This window comes from Homo sapiens, chromosome 10 (genome assembly GCF_000001405.40).
Source record: "Homo sapiens chromosome 10, GRCh38.p14 Primary Assembly".
Taxonomy (NCBI): Eukaryota; Metazoa; Chordata; class Mammalia; order Primates; family Hominidae; genus Homo; species Homo sapiens.
Genome location: NC_000010.11, coordinates 11,778,611 through 11,795,287, shown reverse-complemented (window position 1 = coordinate 11,795,287; position 16,677 = coordinate 11,778,611). Strand labels below are relative to the sequence as shown.

Below are 16,677 nucleotides of genomic sequence, written 5' to 3'. Positions count from 1 at the left end.
ACAGACCTGTAGAACTGGCTACATAATTTGTGCGGCCCAGTGCAAAATGAAAATGCTGAGCCTCTTGTTCAAAATTAATTACTGGCCGGGTGCAGTGTGGCACATGCCTGTAGACCCAGCACTTTGGGAGGCCAAGGCAGAAGGATCACCTGAGGCCAGGAGTTCGAGCCCAGCCTGGGCAACATGTTGAGACCCCATCTCCACAAAAACCAAATAACTAGCCAGGCGTGGTGGTACATGCCTGTATTCCCAGCTACAGGCTGGGACAGGAGAATAGTTTGAGCCTGGGAGGTCGAGGCTGGAGTGAGCTGTGATTACGCCACTGCACTCCAGCCTGGGTATCAAGCAAGACCCTGTCTTTAAAAACAAACAAAATAATTGATTACTTCAAGATGGCAACAGCAGACCATTAAACCAAGCTTGAGGCCCTGTGACTGCATGGGTCACAAGCCCCTGAAACCGGCCCTCAGAACCTGCTAGTGCCCCTGCAGGGCTAAGACTGAAGAGGACCTCTCTTGGTTAATTATTACCCCCCTCCTAGATGACTAACGAGTCTTCATTAACCTCTAGTTATCATGAAGCCTTTTCTCAACTGGCTTTGCCAGAGACGTCCTTGGTGATCTCAGGAAGCTCTGACTTCAGGCTCTGCCATTATTCTTTTTTTTTTATTTTTGAGTTGGAGTCTTGCTCTTGTCACCCAGGCTGGAGTGCAGTGGCGCGATCTCCGCTCACTACAACCTCCGCCTCTGGGGTTCAAGCAGATTCTCCTGCCTCAGCCTCCCGAGTAGCTGGGACTACAGGCGCCCACCACTATGCCCAGCTAATTTTTTTGTATTTTTAGTAAAGACAGGGTTTCACCATATTGGCCAGGCCAGGAGTCTCGAACTCCACCTGCCTCAGCCTGCCAAAGTGCTGCTGCCATTATTCTTGTTAGTTTGCCCAGTGCTGGGAAGGGACAGGGGAGGCTTGGCTCAGGGGTCACAGTTCATGCGCTCTGGCACCGCTTCCCCCACCTGGCTCCTCTCAGAGGCTCACAGCTTTCTTGGCCCCTGCTGGTTGTAGGACAGTGGTCAGTGACACCTCTGGAATGTTATCATTCCGGCAGCGGGAGGGAGAATGACTCTCAGGCACACCCATCAAAGCATGCAGGAATTCCTGGTGCGTGTATCTTTAGTCAGAAGCCCCTTGCGTTTCCTCTTGAGCTCATCCTTGTTGGCCTAGTGGGCTCTGGAGTGTGGACGGAGGTGACTCAGCTGGGTGGTGCCGGGTGCCAGCCCTTCACTGCTCCTGGGAGCCCCGGCCTGTCCCTGCAGCCTCCCTGATCCTGGTATCAGACAGACCCACGGACACCATCGGCCCAGCCTGCCTTCCTCTTCTCATCCTGGTTCCCATGTTTGCTGGTTTCTGATCAACACAAGTGGTGGGGATTTGTACCAAGCCTTGGGGTTGTGAAAGGAAAATAAATCTTGGACCCACAATCACTAAGCCAAAGGGCAAAGTCAAGCTGGGAACTGCAGTCAGGCAGACCTGCCTCTCATTTTATTCCTAAAGAAGGTAGCTGCAAAAGAAAAGAAAAGAAAAGAAAAGAAAAGAAAAGAAAAGAAAAGAAAAGAAAAGAAAAGAAAAAAAAGCTACACACCTGTAGGGACCAGCCCCACAGCGTTGGTGGGTCTCTCCCTGTGTGCAGCGACGAGAGAGTGTAGAAATAAAGACACAAGACAAAGAGATAAAAGAAAAGACAGCTGGGCCCGGGGGACCACTACTACCAATGCACGGAGCCCAGTAGTGGCCCCGAATGTCTGGCTGCACTGTTATTTATTGGATACAAGGCAGAAGGGGCAGGGTAAAGAGTGTGAGTCATCTCCAATGATAGGTAAGGTCATGTGGGTCACGTGTCCACTGGACAGGGGGCCCTTCCCTGCCTGGCAGCCGAGGCAGAGAGGGAGAGGAGACAGAGAGAAAGACAGCTTACGCCATTATTTCTGCTTATTAGAGACTTTTAGTACTTTCACTAATTGACTACTGCTATCTAGAAGGCAGAGCCAGGTGTACAGGATGGAACATGAAGGCGGACTAGGAGCATGACCACCGAAGCACAGCATCACAGGGAGACGGTTAGGCCTCCGGATAACTGCAGGCGAGCCTGACTAATGTCAGGCCCTCCACAAAAGGTGGAGGAGCAGAGTCTTCTCTAAACTCCCCCGGGGAAAGGGAGACTCCCTTTCCCGGTCTGCTAAGTAGTGGGTGTTGTTCCTTGACACTTTTCGCTACCGCTAGACCACCGTCCGCTTGGCAACGGGCGTCTTCCCAGATGCTGGTGTTACCGCTAGACCAAGGAGCCCTCTGGTGGCCCTGTCCGGGCATAACAGAAGGCTCGCACTCTTGTCTTCTGGTCACTTCTCACTGTGTCCCCTCAGCTCCTATCTCTGTATGGCCTGGTTTTTCCTAGGTTATGACTGTAGAGCGAGGATTATTAAAATATTGGGATAAAGAGTAATTACTACAAACTAATGATTAATGATATTCATATATAATCATATCTAAGATCTACATCTGGTATAACTATTCTTGTTTTATATTTTATTATACTGGAACAGCTCGTGTCCTCGGTCTCTTGCCTTGGCGCCTGGGTGGCTTGCCGCCCACACATACCTCTCTCACAATTTGCCCACTAGAAATTCCCTGTGGCCCCTAGGTCTTTACCCTGAAAGAGTTGTTGCGTTTCACCCTGCTAATGTAAATGGATAGCTTATGTACACAGGTGTGGGACAAAGGACTGAACTCAAAGTCATCCCCCTGCTCACCTGAGACAAATGCATATCTGATTGCTTCCTCTGCCCTGTTTCTTTGATCACATCTCATGTAAAAATGCAGATTCACTGAGCTAGATGAATGCCTAACACTGTTCCTCTATCCCTCCTCACATGTGAACGGCCGACCAAAGACCCAAAAAAATGCAACCATTTACCTCTTGTCTACCCAACACTTTTTAAAAGTTCTTACTCTTTCCCCAATATACACCCGTTTTCCTTTAAATATATATATTTTGAGACAGTCTTGGTCTGTCACCCAGGCTGGAGTGCAGTAGCATGATCTCGGCTCACTGCCTCCTGGGTTCAAGCTATTCTCCCGCCCTAGCCTCCCAAGTAGCTGGGATTACAGGTGCCCGCCACCACGCACAGCTAATTTTTGAATTTTTAGTAGAGGCAGGGTTTCACCATGTTGGCCAGGTTGGTCTCGAACTCCTGACCTCAAGTGATCTGGCTGCCTCGATCTCCCAAAGTGCTGGGATTACACATGGGAGCCACCTCGCCCGGCCCCCTTTAAATATTGAAACCCTCAAAATCATCTTTGGGGAAAGGCACAGACCTGCTTCCTGAGCACGCGTCTATAACCTCAGTAAAACAAACATGCGAACGGATTGAGACCTGTCTCAGACACTTTTTCATTTACAGCCTGCACTCAGGGACTCGTGGACACTGGGGTGGTTCGTTCCCCCTTCCCCAGGTTCCCAAGAAGTCACCAGCAGGTGAGCAGCACTTGCTTTATTCCTGGATGAAGGGTCCTCCCTCTAACCCTTCTCAGTGGATCACCAAGATGCACCCTGACCCCAAGGGGCAAACCCCCTTCCTTCTGAGGAGTTAGGTAATATGGCGGGGGGTGGGTGCTATGGAGTCTCTAGGGGTATATGTGGTACACACAATACCAAACCACCACTTCAAGGGGCAATTCTCTGCTGCTGTCTCTGAGCCACAGAGGTGACCTTGAACTTCGAGGAGCCCAAGACAACAAATGCGGTAGTGAGGACCTGAGAGCCATAGGGATACCTGGGTTGGGGGTTAACAGACCTGGATTCTGGTTCTACGTGGTAAGCAGAGTAATGGTCCCCTGAAGATGCCGGTGTCCTAATTCTCAAAACCTGTGCGTAGGTTGACTCACGTGGGCAAAGGATCTCTGCACATGTGATTAAGTGAAGGCTCGTTAGCTGGGGTACTGCCTGGATTCGCCAGGTGAGTTCAATGGAATCACTAGCACCTTTGCAAGAGGGAGGCGAAGAGCCAGAGAACAAGAGGCTGTGAGTGATCAGAGTGCTGGCTGGGACCACAGGTCAAAACCACCTGGGAAGCGGCAGGAAGCTGGAAGAGGTGAGGAAATAGGTTCTCCCCTCGAGCTTCCAGAAGGAATGCAGCCCCGCCAACACCTTGATTTTAGCCCATTTGGAGACCCATTTTGGATTTCTTTTTTTTTGAGATGAGGTCTCATTCTGTTGCCCAGGCTAGAGTGCAGTGGTACAATCACAGCTCACTGCATCCTTGACCTCCTGGGCTCAAGTGATCTTCCCATCTCAGCCTCCCAAGTAGCTGGGACCATAGGCGTGCACCACCATACCTGCCTAATTTTTTATAAAGCTGGAGTCTATGTTGGTCATGCTGGTCTCGAACTCCTGACCTCAAGTGATCTGCCCAGCTTGGCCTCCCAAAGTGCTGGGACTGCAGGCATGAGCCACTGAGCCTGGCCCCATTTTGGGCTTCTGACCTCCAAAGCTGTAAGGTACCGCATCTGAGTTGTCGGAAGCCACTGCATGTGTGGTAATTTGTTGCAAGAACCCTGGGAAGCTAATGGGTCCTACCTCTGACATGGATGAGCTATGTGACCCTGGGCAGGTCATTCTTCTTGGCCTAAGATACTCCTCTTTATTCTGGAAAGTGCCACACACAGTGGCTTTCACATTTTTCCTTCTTTTGAAACAGGGTCTCATCCCCATTGCCCAGGCTGGAGCGCAGTAGCACAATCATAGCTCACCGCAGCCTCTAATTCCCGGGCTCAAGCCATCCTCTTGCCTCACTTTTTGATTTTTTGTAGAGACAAGGTCTCATTATGTTGCCCAGGCTGGTCTTGAAGTCCTGGGCTCAAGTGATCCTCCCACCTCGGCCTCCCAGAGTGCTGGGATTACAGGAGTGAGCCACTGGACTTGGTTGGCTTTCAAATATTTAAAAAAATTTAAAGCAGCAGGATGCTTTCATCAGTTGAAATCACTTGTGGAAGTCCAACGTGAAACAGCAAAGGGGACGCTCATTGGTGAAGCTGGGGATCCGCTGCCCAGCAGAGCAGGCAGGGGTGGCACTGGCGGAGGCGGGGCTGGGTTCCCAGGCTAGTGGTACCAACTTTCTTTTTGAGAGGGAAGTGCCCGCTTTTGAGAGGGATGGCAGGCATGGCGTATTTGATTGGTTGGCACCTTCTGACCCGAAAAGAGTTCACTGGAACTGAGTAGAATTTAATCTGCTGTTCTTAGGAATGAGGCTTTATTGGTGCATTTTATTTGGGGTGTTCTGTACAACTCCTAGGAATGGACCTCATCTTCAAGACATTTCTGTTGCTGCCAGGATCTTAATGTCTCTTCGCCTCTGGGAGCTTAAGCAAGAAGTTAGTGTTCCTGACTCTAGTGAACAGCCAGGAGTACCGCAAGCTGGTTTTAACATCTAGCAAGATCCAGATGTTATTGAAATTGACTTTCATAGCCTCCTTGAGACCTCAAAGTGTCCTTGGTGAAGGTCCTCTTTGCATGGACTTTTCATTTTGATTTTCTCCTGTTGCTCTTGAAGTCTAGCCAGGGTGCAAACTCACGGATCTCTACACAGCTCTGAGTTCAGATGTCTGAAGCTGGGGACATCCTAAGACATCCTGCTCACATCATCCAAGGGTAAAATAAGGAGGGTGGCAGATGCCCAGATTTTTTTATTGACACTAAAATTATCTGGGAGGATGCCAAGGGTAACATCAACCCAGCCTGCCTGAGAAATCAAAGCATCATTTAAAAAAACAAGCTCAATGGGCTAGGATCGCTACTCCCTTATTAAAAGCAACTTTAGGACTAGACAAAACAAACTCAGAACTGGAGGAGGATTATTAAATGTGAATTTGTGCTGTACAGGAAGGTTTTTTTTTCCTTGTTCATGTCATGAAGGATTGCAGAGAGCAAAATGAAAGCATATGTATATGCGTGTGTGTGTGTGTATATATATATATATATTTTTTTTTTTTTTTCTCCTTAGTGTTGATATACTAAGCATCAAGGAGGGCCTTGTTAAAAATGCAAATTCCTGTATTTCTCCAAACCCAGAGATTCTACTGCAGCAAAGCGGGCCTGAGACATTCCAGGTGGTTCTAATATGAATGGTTCCAGAGAGAAATTTTGACAGGCACTGAGGCTTGTATTTGAGCTGCCAAAGTGAAGACAGGAGTATTCCAGGGACTTAATGCTTCTTTTTATTTTCTGCAACGCCTTCCCTCCACAAAGTTTTATGAGGTGAATACATAATCATTCTCTCATCACAACAAAAGTAATTATTGTTAATGTGTAGTGTTATGTGGCGTTAGCTCTCAACATATTGTAATCCAATTAAATCATTTATTTCTGAAATTAACAAGCCCTCTGTTTTCTCTGCCCATATCCAATTCCTTGAGGAGGGCTGGGCATGATGGCTAATGCCTGTAATCCCAACACTTTGGGAGGCGGAGGTGGGAGGGTTGCTTACATTCAAAAGTTTGAGACCACCGTGGGCAATATAGTAAAATCCTGTCTCTACAAAAAGTCAAAAAAAAAAAAAAATTAGCCAGGTGTGGTGGCATGTGTTTGTAGTCCTAGCTACTCAGGAGACTGAGGTGGGGGGATCATTTGGGTCTTGGAGGTTGAGGCTGCAGGGAGCTGTGATCATGCCACTGTACTCCAGCCTGGGCAACAGAGCCAGACTATCTCCAAAACAAATGAATGAATAAAAATAAAAATTGCTTGAGGAGTCACAGGTTCACATATTTCCCCGATGCCAACATAGGTGAGGTTGAGAGAACAGTCGGATTTCTTCGCTTGTCCTTCGACTATTCCAGAGCCTCTCCTTCCCATGGCTCCTTCCCGCAGCCCACCCTATGCAGGGCTGCCAGGACTTGGCCACGGGTGCACCAGGCTGCATGGGACACATTCTGAGTTTGCCGCAAGTGGCTTACGTCCTGGTACTAAGCCTTGGTCTCTCCACGCTTACACCCCGTGTCCCCATTGCTCACCCTCTCCAGCCTGGAAGCTCTGTTTGCTCTGCGCCTTCTCCGATTCCTCTCGCTGTCGGCCCCCGGGTCTGGGTGGGGGGGCTCCATGTTGCTGGGCTACATGGAGGGGAGCGGCTGGTGTTGCAGAGCTGACTCTCTGGGCAAAGGCCCTGGGCTCACGGCATTCCCTCCTCTGAGCAGGTGCAGCTCTGTGCCAGGGTGCGAGCTCGGCTGGAGTGGCAGGTGGGACCTGTCTCTGTGTCTCTGTATCCCTCTGTCTCTGTCTCTCAGAGCCAGGTGCACCTGGGCAGGGCAAACGTCACACTGCCCCAGCCTTGCTGCCTCCCAGTGCTGTCCATGCACCCAGCCTCTTTCTCTGCAGTCTTTCTTACATTCTGTTGGAATAACTAATCGGGGGGCTGAGACTGAGGCTGCAGCAGGGCCCTGGGTTCCTATGTCAGCAAACCCAAACCCAACTCAGCTTTCGGGGCTATACTTTAGGCCCATCAGAAGCTGCCTGCTGCCCCGTAACTAGGGACCGAGCGCTGGGACGCTTGTATAAGGCTCTGCTCTGCTGTGATTGATCAATGTACTCTGCTTCTGCGTTCACCTCTGGGAGCCTGCCCTGCGCGCTCCTTCCTCAGACCTCAAACCACTTGCCATCTGGGGCTGCCCGATTCATGAATCACTGTTTGCTCAAATAATCTGTTTAATATTTTCATGGGCCTCAGTTTACCTTCTGGCAGTTCCCATGCTAATTCTGGGCTTGATCCACCTTCCTGGTAGGATAGAAACTCCCTTCTTCCCTGAGGATGGGCTCCCTGTGCAGCCCTTCAGCAAGGAGAAGGTGTTTTCTTCCCCACCTTGGAGTCCAGGAAAAGGGAACTGGGGTTCTCCCGTCTTCTTCATGATCACTTCCAAAGCATTCCTTTTATTTTTTGTTATTTTTTATTGTTTTGAGATGGAGTCTCACTCTCACCCAGGCTGGAGAGCAGTGGCGCCATCCTGGAGTCTTGCTTTGTCATTCCTTCTATTAAAAAATAATTGAACATCTTTCTTTGTAACATGTAGCTTCGGCATATGATGAGATGCAGGAGGTCTCTGTCTTCCTCCTCTGCCTTCTAACTGCATGATGCTTCCTGCTTCCCCGCAAGATTCTTCCACCTGCTCAGCTGTTCTTTCTTTTTTTCTTCTTTTTGAGACAGAGTCTTGCTCTGTCGCCCAGGCTGGAGTGCAGTGGCGCGATCTGGGCTCACTGCAACCTCCTCCTCCCAGGTTCAAGCGATTCTCCTGCCTCAGCCTCCTGAGTAACTGGAATTACAGGCATGCGCCACCACACCCAGCTAATTTTTGTGTTTTTAGTAGAGATGGGGTTTCACCATGTTGGTCAGGCTGGTCTCGAACTCCTGACTTCGTGATCCACCCACCTCGGCCTCCAAAATTGCTGGGATTACAGATGTGAGCCACCGCACCTGGCCTATCAGCTGTCCTCTTTCATGGGGACCCCATTCATTCTTTCCACTTCTGCTCCTGCCATAGTCCTAGGAGCCCATCTGTAAAGACAGTCCAGTTCATAACCCTGAACTCCTTATCCCCAATGACCTTCATGTCCACACCACTTTCCAGTCACACCCAGGATCCCACCATCTCCTACACCTTCTATTCCACCTGAGAAATTCAAACTACCACCATCCTACTCTGGTCCCATGGTTCTGTGATTCTGGCTGTCCCGGAACTACTAAGTGAAAAATGTGATAGGAGTGGGCCGGGCGCAGTGGCTCGCACCTGTAATCCCAGCACTTTGGGAGGCCAAGGTGGGTGGATCACCTGAGGTCAGGAGTTCAAGACCAGCCCGGCCAGCATGGCGAAACCCCATCTCTACTAAAAATACAAAAATTAGCTGGGCGTGGAGGCACATGCCTGTAGTCCCAGCTACTCAAGAAGCTGAGGCAGGAGAATCACTTTCCCTTGAACCCGGGAGACAGAGATTGCAGTGAGCCGAGATCGGAGATTGAGCCATTGCACTCCAGCCTAGGCAACAGAGTGAGACTCCATCTAAAAAAAAAAAAAAAGAAAAGAAAAAGAAGAAAAAAAGAAAAATGTGATGGGGTGACCAAATGATTTTACACTGGGCCACTAGGCAAGGGCTGTCCCAGATTAAATATCTGAGCTCTGAATGTCAAGAAATCATGAACGCGAACATCAGAAGGCAGAGGGTTTTCAGGCAAGAGGGAAGATGTGCTCAGGGAATAGAAATTCAAGATCCCACCAAACATAACGTAATTAGCACTATAATTTTGTGCCCTACCAAATACATTTTTAAGAAACCTTATTATTCATATCTTCACTCAATGGACTATTCAAAGTCAGAGTCAACTGTGGAGAGATACAGCTTAGCAGTAACACACGTGACTGAGGGATGTTAAGCTACTGAATGGAAGAGTCAGCGCAGATGACATTTCTTTCCTAGGCAATTAATTTGCCATCGAGGCTGGGCGTGGTGGCTCACGCCTGTAATCTCAGCACTTTGGGAGGCCAAGGTGGGAAGATCACCTGAGGTCAGGAGTTCAAGACCAGCCTGGCCAACATGGTGAAACACCGTCTCTACTGAAAATACAAAAAGTTATCGAGCCTTGGTGGTGTGCACCTGTAATCCCAGCTACTCAGGATGCTGAGGCAGGAGAATCACTTGAACCCTGGAGGGAGAGGATGCAGTGAGCCAAGATCACACCACTGCACTTCAGCCTGGGCAACAGAGCAAGACTCTGTCTCAAAAAACAAAACAAAAAAACCCTGCCATCTTTTCCAGGCAGGAATAATTCCTCTTCCTATTCTCAGGGTAAGAAAGAAGAAGAAAAAAACCAAACGCATCAAACTCAAACCAAGAAACTGAACCAAACTCCAAATATCCACCCAACCTCAAACAAATAACCACTGTTACTCACCAGTTCCAGCGATTAGAGGAGCAATGGCCATCAGGCTATCACGTCATTATATTCTGCAGTCACTGGAGCAAAAGATCAGTGAGGAGGTGAAGTTTAGGAAAGAAGACTCAAAGGACTCCACCCTTCCTCCTTGATTGTTTTTTTAGACCAGCCTTGCAATTAAAGGCTAAAAATACGCCATTGTTTGGCCAACTCACCTTCTATAGACTGAATTGTGTCCTGCCCCAAATTCATAAGTTGAAGCCGTGACCCCTCATGTGGCTGTGTTGGAAAGGGGGCCTTTCAGGAGATGGTTACGGTTAAATGAGGTCAAAAGAGTGGAACGTTGATCCCATAAAACTGGTATCCCTATAAGAAGAGGAAGAGCATCAATGAACTCTCTACCATGTGAGGACACAAGGAGAAGGTGGCCGTCTGCAAGCCTACGTGAGAGTCCTCACCAGAAGCCAACCATGTTGACACCTTGATCTTGGACTTCCAGCCTCTAGAACTGTGAGAAAATAAATGTCTGTTGTTCTAGTCACCCAGTCTATGGTATTTTGTTTTGACAGCCCAAGCTGACTAAGATGTCACCTCACCTTAGTTGTCACAGAGAGGCTGCAGTAAAATGAGGAAAGAAAGGAGCTTGATTTCTTCCCTCCCCTCCAAATCCGGTGTTGGAAAAGTAGCTGTGGTGGCTTAAGGATTTAACATAGAATTAAAAACAATTCTCCGTTTTTCATAATTTGGAATTAATGCATTATTTAAACCTAAAGTTTAGCAATATATTTAAATTTTTTCTTTTTTTTTTTTCATTTATACCTGGCCATTTGAATGTTTGATGAGTGAATAAACGAATATATGGAAATGATGCAATGGACCCTGTAACAGAGAAGACCTGTACTCTGCCGGTTTTCCCCTGGTGTTGAGGTTAACTCTATATTTAACCAACCAAGACCGGGCCTGTATGAAGCCTCACCCAAAAGGCGGTGCAGCACAAAGATGAGGGCTGAAGGGTGACTTCAGTGGGCTCTGGGAACCCTTGCCTTCAAGGGCTCCTTCCTCCGTTAAAAAAATTAAAAATGATCTTTTGACGACGGCATTCTTCTGATTGGAAAAGAAAGAAACATGAAAACGTCTTCACGAGCCCATGAAAGTTTCAGGAGCCCTGGGCACTGCGCCTCAGGGCCTGAGGGGAGGTCGGCCCAGGCAGAGGTCCGCTCCCTGCTTCTGGGGCCTGAGTCCTGCCTGAAATCATAGCAGGATCCGGCATCATGCGTTGCCTGTGAGATGTGCGGACAACCACTTAGTATCCTTAGCTATAAAAACGACAGAAATGCAGCAAAACGAACTCGAGAGAAAGCCTCCTTGTTAGCCAGAAACTTCTTTGAATGGGGGGAGACTTTACTAAGCTTCTGAAGATGGGATGTGCCGGAGGAACATGAAGGTGCCTTGTGGGCGGGGCAGGGTGGGCTGGATCTGAAGGAAGGTGCTAGAATTCCTCCGCCCCGCCCTGCCAGAGGCTGGGCGGAATTGGGGACGTTGAGAACAGAAATGTCCGAGGGAGAATCTTACTAAGAGGGCTCTCCTGTTCCAGGACACCCTGAGTCATACACTCATTGCTACCTTGAGCTTCCTGAGAGTCGAGTCTCGTCAGGGAAGCTTCCAGGTGCTGATTCTGCCCTGAGGTGGCCTTGGGTCTAGAACATATGTGATTGATTGCCTCTGAGTTTTGTAAGCAGCTCTTAACTCAGGGCTTGAGAACTCCCAAAAACAGCCCAAGGCGGGAATAAAGCGGGACTCCGGCATCACCTGCACGGCCTATGCAATGTGTAACAGTAAACTCACCTGCCGGGATAATCGTCTAGGACAGTGGTCTCACCTGCGGGGGAGCCTTTCTCTCTACGGGACTTTCGTCAATGTCCGGTGACAGTTGTGGCTGTCTCGGCTGGTGAGGGGAGAGGTCAGGGGCGCTGCTCAGCATCCTACCAGGCCTGGGACAGCCCCCACAACAAAAAACCATCTGGCCTAAAAGGTCCACGGGGCCAAGGTTGAGAAACCCTACCCTGGAGTCCAGGACAGAACCATCAGCGATTTCATAGCAGGCTATGAGGTCAGCCGGGTCTATTTCAAAAAATAAAATGCAAACAGTTACATAGGAACTTCTTTCTCTCCACTGCCTCAGCTGAACTGACATCTAGCTAACTTTGCTATGTAAGTTGCTAAACGAGCTACTTTTAGTTTCAGGGCTGAAAAGCCAGTATCATTTTCCAGTCAAAGGAACCAGCAGCAGGTTACACAGCTAACTTTTTTATCTAGAGATAAATACCCATTGCCCTCTGCTGGAGAATTTTATAACTGCTGCATTAAGTGTTGAGAAATAATTGTTTCAGGTCGTTCTAACTTAACAGAATGTCTGGGACCACTGACTTTTTCCTTTGAACATGTGATTGATTACAAGGGCGGGGAGTGTAGTGGCTTATGTGACCAATTTCCTTCTGTTGTGGTACCCTATACATTCAGAGGTTATTTGATAATGATTAGTTATTCCTGTTCCTTCTCTGTAAGCACAGAAGTCATGAAACAAGAGCAAAGCTTAATGAGAGAAACAACAGAAGCAGATCCTAGGGGGTGCTTTTTAGATTTTTGATTACTTAGGAATTATGGGCCACGGTGGGTGTGGTGGCTCACGCCTGTAATCCTAGCACTTTGGGAGGCCGAGGCAGGCAGATCACCTGTGGTCAGGAGTTCGAGCCCAGCCTGGCCAACATGGTGAAACCCGGTCTCTAGTAAAAATACAAAAATTAGCCGGGCGTGGTGGCGGGAGCCTGTAATCCCAGCTACTCGGGAGGCTGAGGCAGGAGAATCGCTTGAACCTGGGAGGCAGAGGTTTCAGTGAGCTGAGATTGCACCACTGCACTCCAGCCTGGGTGACAGAGCAAAACTCTGTCTTAAAAAAAAAAATTATAGACCAGGCACAGTGGACAGTGGCTCATGCCTGTAATCCAGCACCCTTGGGAGGCTGAGGTGGGAGGATTGTTTGAGGCCACCCCAGGATACAAAGTGAGACCCCTGTCTCTACAAAAATTTTTTAAAAAATTAGCTGGGAGTGGTGGCTCACTCCTGTAGTCTCAGCTACTCTGGAGGCTGAGTCAGGAGGAATGCTTGAGCCCAGGAGTTTGAGGCTGCAGTGAGGTATGATTGCATCACTGTACTCTAGACCGGGTGGCAGAGCGAGACCCTGTCTCTAAAATAAAAATAAATAAATAAATAAATAAAATTATGGAATATTTTTTCTATGATTTTTAAAAATTTGTTTCACATAATCATTATTGTACTATAGATAAAAATGTGTTCTGCTGGCCAGGCGCCATGGCTCACGCCTGTAATCCCAGCACTTTGGGAGGCTGAGGTGGGTGGATCATCTGAGGTCAGGAGTTTGAGACCAGCCTGGGCAGCATGGTGAAACCCCCATCTCTACTAAAAATATAAAAATTCGCCAGGTGTGGTGGCAGGCGCCTGTAGTCCCAGCTACTTCAGAGGCTGAGGCAGGAGAATCACTTGAACCCAGGAGGCAGAGGTTGCAGTGAGCGGAGATCACACCATTGCACTCGAGCCTGGGCGACAGGGGGAGACTCTGCCCCTCCACTACCGCCAAAAAAATACGTGTTCCGTTTTTTTCTCTCTAAACATCTCTCCATGTTATCATGGGCATTCTTTTGTTACTCTGAGGGGTGCACCGATGCCTTTTCCAGGGGAGGACTTGTGAGCCCAGCTGCTGCCTCCGCTGCCACCCCTCAGGGATTGTCTCCATTCCAGGGTGCCAGCTGTGTCATGACTGACGGAGGCTGGAGATGGAGGCCTGATCATTCCGGCCCAATATGGAGGCATTCCAATGGCCATTTCAGCTCCAGAACTCAGGGGTTTTGCTCCCCAGAGGTGAGCACCACTATCTTCTGTGTCTCTTTCCAGGGCTGGGCTGTGCCTCTACCAGCATAGACACTGTGACAGTTCATTTTATGTGACAACTTGCCTGGGCCACAGGATGCCCAGCTTGTTGCTGGTTAGACACGATTTCTAGGTGTGTCTGGGAGGGTGTTTCTGGAAGCGCTTGGCATTTGAATCGGTGGGCTCCTAAAGCAGATGGCCCTCCCTGGTGCGGCTGGGTGTCATGCTATCCACTGAGGGCCTGAAAGGAACAAAAAGGCAGAGGAAGGAGGAACTTGCTCTCTGCCTGGCTGCTGAAGCTGGGACATGGATCTTCTCCTGCCTCAGTGCTTCTGGTTCCCAGACCCTCAGACCTGGACTGGAGTCTACACCGTAGGCTCTCAGGCCTATAAATGACACCACTGGCTTTTCTGGGTCTCTAGTTTGCGGACGGCAGATTGCGGGATTTCTCTGCCCCCATAATCCCATTTTTTTGGGTATTTGTTAGAGAGGTGAGGTCTTGCTATGTTGCCCAGGCTGGTCTTAGACTGCTGGGCTCAAGCCATCCACCCGCTTTGGCCTCCCATAGTGCTGGGGATGATAGGTGTGAGCCACCACGCCCAGCCTCACACATCACTTATAGTGGCTGCGTGGTGATACCCCTTCCAGTAGATGTCCTGGAATCGCTACTACGCTTGTGTTGGACTCAAAGCAGTACTGTTTTTTTCTTTTTCTTTTGAGACAGAGTCTCGCTCTATTGCTCAGGCTGGAATGCACTGGCACAATCTTGGCTCACTGCAACCTTCACCTCCCAGGTTCAGGTGATTCTTGCGCCTCTGCCTCCCGAATAGCTGGGATTACAGGTACCTGCCACCATGCCCAGCTAATTTTTGTATTTTCAGTAGAGACAGGGTTTCACCATGTTGGCCAGGCTGGCCTCGAGCTCCCGACCTCAGGTGATCCGCCCGTCTTGGCCTCCTAAAGTGCTGGGATTACAGGTGAAAACAGTACTGCTTTTAAAATTGGTAAAAGAAAAATTTTAAGAGACAGTGTCTCACTGTGTTGCCCAGGCTGGGGGACAGTGGTGCAATCACAGCTTGCTATACCCTTGAACTCCTGGACTCAAGTGATTGTCCCATCTCAGCCTCCCGAGTAGCAGGGACGAGAGGTGCATGCCACCACAACTGGCTAATTTTTAATGTTTATTTTATAGAGATGGGGGTCTCACTATGTTGCCCAGGCTGAATTACTGTCTTTTTTTTTTTTTTTTTGAGACAGAGTCTCACTCTGTCGCCCAGCATGGAGTGCAGTGGTGCGATCTCAGCTCACTGCAACCTCCGCCTCCTGGGTTCAAGCTATTCTTCTGCCTCAGCCTCCCGAGAAGCTGGGACTACAGGTGCGTGCCACCACGCCCGGCTAATTTTTGTATTTTTTAGTAGAGACAGGGTTTCACCATATTGGCCAGGCTGGTCTCAAACTCCTGACCTTATGATCTGCCCACCTCGGCCTCCCAAAGTGCTGGGATTACAAGCGTGAGCCACTGCGCCAGACCTGCTTTTTTTTTTTTTTTTTAATGATATTATAAATATTACCTGATTCACAGTTTTTTTGTGAAGTTCTCTCTCAATTTCAGATTCTTTCCTAAGAGTATGGAGGATAGCCACTTTTAAGTCTATTGATTTATGTTACCAAATCTCTCTCCTACAGAGCTGTGCCTTCACACCAGGAGCATATCCCTGGGTCGCCTTGTCGGCAGGATGACCTTTGGTTCAGCCTAAATAGGTCCTATGCTATTCCAGTCCCCTTCCCCCTGCCTCTCAGGAGAAACCTCCACAAGCTCAAGTTATTTCCGATGTCAAATCTGCGAGTGTCTATTTCCTGTAGACATCTCCTGGCCTCCCTCCTCCTCCTACCAGGGCTGGTCACTCTCCAAGCCTCCTGCCCCAGGGCCACCCTTGCCCCTCTCCTGGGTTGGTATCTGATATGGTTTGGCTGTGTCCCCATCCAAGTCTCACCTTGAATTGTAAATAATCCTCATGTGTCAAGGGTGGTGACAGGTGGAGATAATTGAATCATGGGGGCTGTTTCCAGCATACTGTTCTCGTGGTAGTAAATAAGTCTCATGAGATCTGATGGTTTTATAAATGGGAGTTCCCTTGCACAAGCTCTCTTGCCTGCCGCCATGTAAGACATGCCTTTGCTTCTCCTTTGCCTTCTGCCATGATTGTGAGGCCTCCCCGGCCATGTGGAACTGTGAGTTCATTAAACCTCTTTTCTTTATACATTACTCAGTCTCAGGTACGTCTTTATTAGCAGCGTGATAACAGACTAATATGGTATCTTAGTCTGGGTTTCCCCTAGAAAGCAGAGCCTGAGACCCAGGCCTGCATGCTCGTAGTTGATTCTAGAAGGTGATCCCAGGAGACAGGAGAAGGGAAATGTAACCCAAGGGTGGGCTATTGAGTTGGTCACGGCTGTGGGCAGCTGGGGCTCCATCCTGATGGGTCTTTCCAAGGAGCTTAGTAGAAGGGTCCCCTGAATTCCATGCCTGAGAGACCATGTGAGGAGCTTGTATCCACCTGCTCCTGTTCCCTGATGGCCAAGGCTGGCCTCGAGGGGCTGTACATCCCTTGCACTTCTGTGATGAGCATTTACGTGTGGGGTTTCACAGATGCCTGCACTTGGCACTGTGAGGTTGTGCCTGGACAGAGTGGTGGGGAGAGTAGAAGGTGGCCTGGGAAGAGAGGTTGTCTGTGATGGATGCGGGTTCTCTTCCTGGTGGCTTGTG

General features: G+C 49.1%; 2 long non-coding RNA genes across 2 annotated transcripts, besides 1 other annotated feature; one reads left to right on the top strand and one right to left on the bottom strand.

Annotated features, from left to right (window-relative positions):
- Nucleotides 576-1,775: an enhancer, noted in NCBI's record as "P300/CBP strongly-dependent group 1 enhancer chr10:11835512-11836711 (GRCh37/hg19 assembly coordinates)". NCBI's record gives its function as "activates an origin of replication core promoter dependent on BRD2, BRD4, P300/CBP, MED14 and CDK7 cofactors, with strong dependence on P300/CBP, by STARR-seq in HCT116 cells {active_cell/tissue: HCT116}" and the evidence as "EXISTENCE:reporter gene assay evidence [ECO:0000049][PMID:35650434]".
- On the bottom strand, nucleotides 9,956-11,170 carry LOC105376415 (uncharacterized). Its single transcript, XR_930664.2, has 3 exons — nucleotides 10,942-11,170; nucleotides 10,181-10,331; nucleotides 9,956-10,045 (listed from the first exon to the last, which is right to left on the bottom strand). It is a non-coding gene; the product is annotated as an uncharacterized LOC105376415 (long non-coding RNA).
- Nucleotides 11,171-12,035: 865 nt separating this feature from the next.
- On the top strand, nucleotides 12,036-15,694 carry LOC105379850 (uncharacterized). Its single transcript, XR_001747278.2, has 3 exons — nucleotides 12,036-12,075; nucleotides 13,782-13,901; nucleotides 15,597-15,694. It is a non-coding gene; the product is annotated as an uncharacterized LOC105379850 (long non-coding RNA).
- The last annotated feature ends 983 nt before the right edge of the window (nucleotides 15,695-16,677 follow it).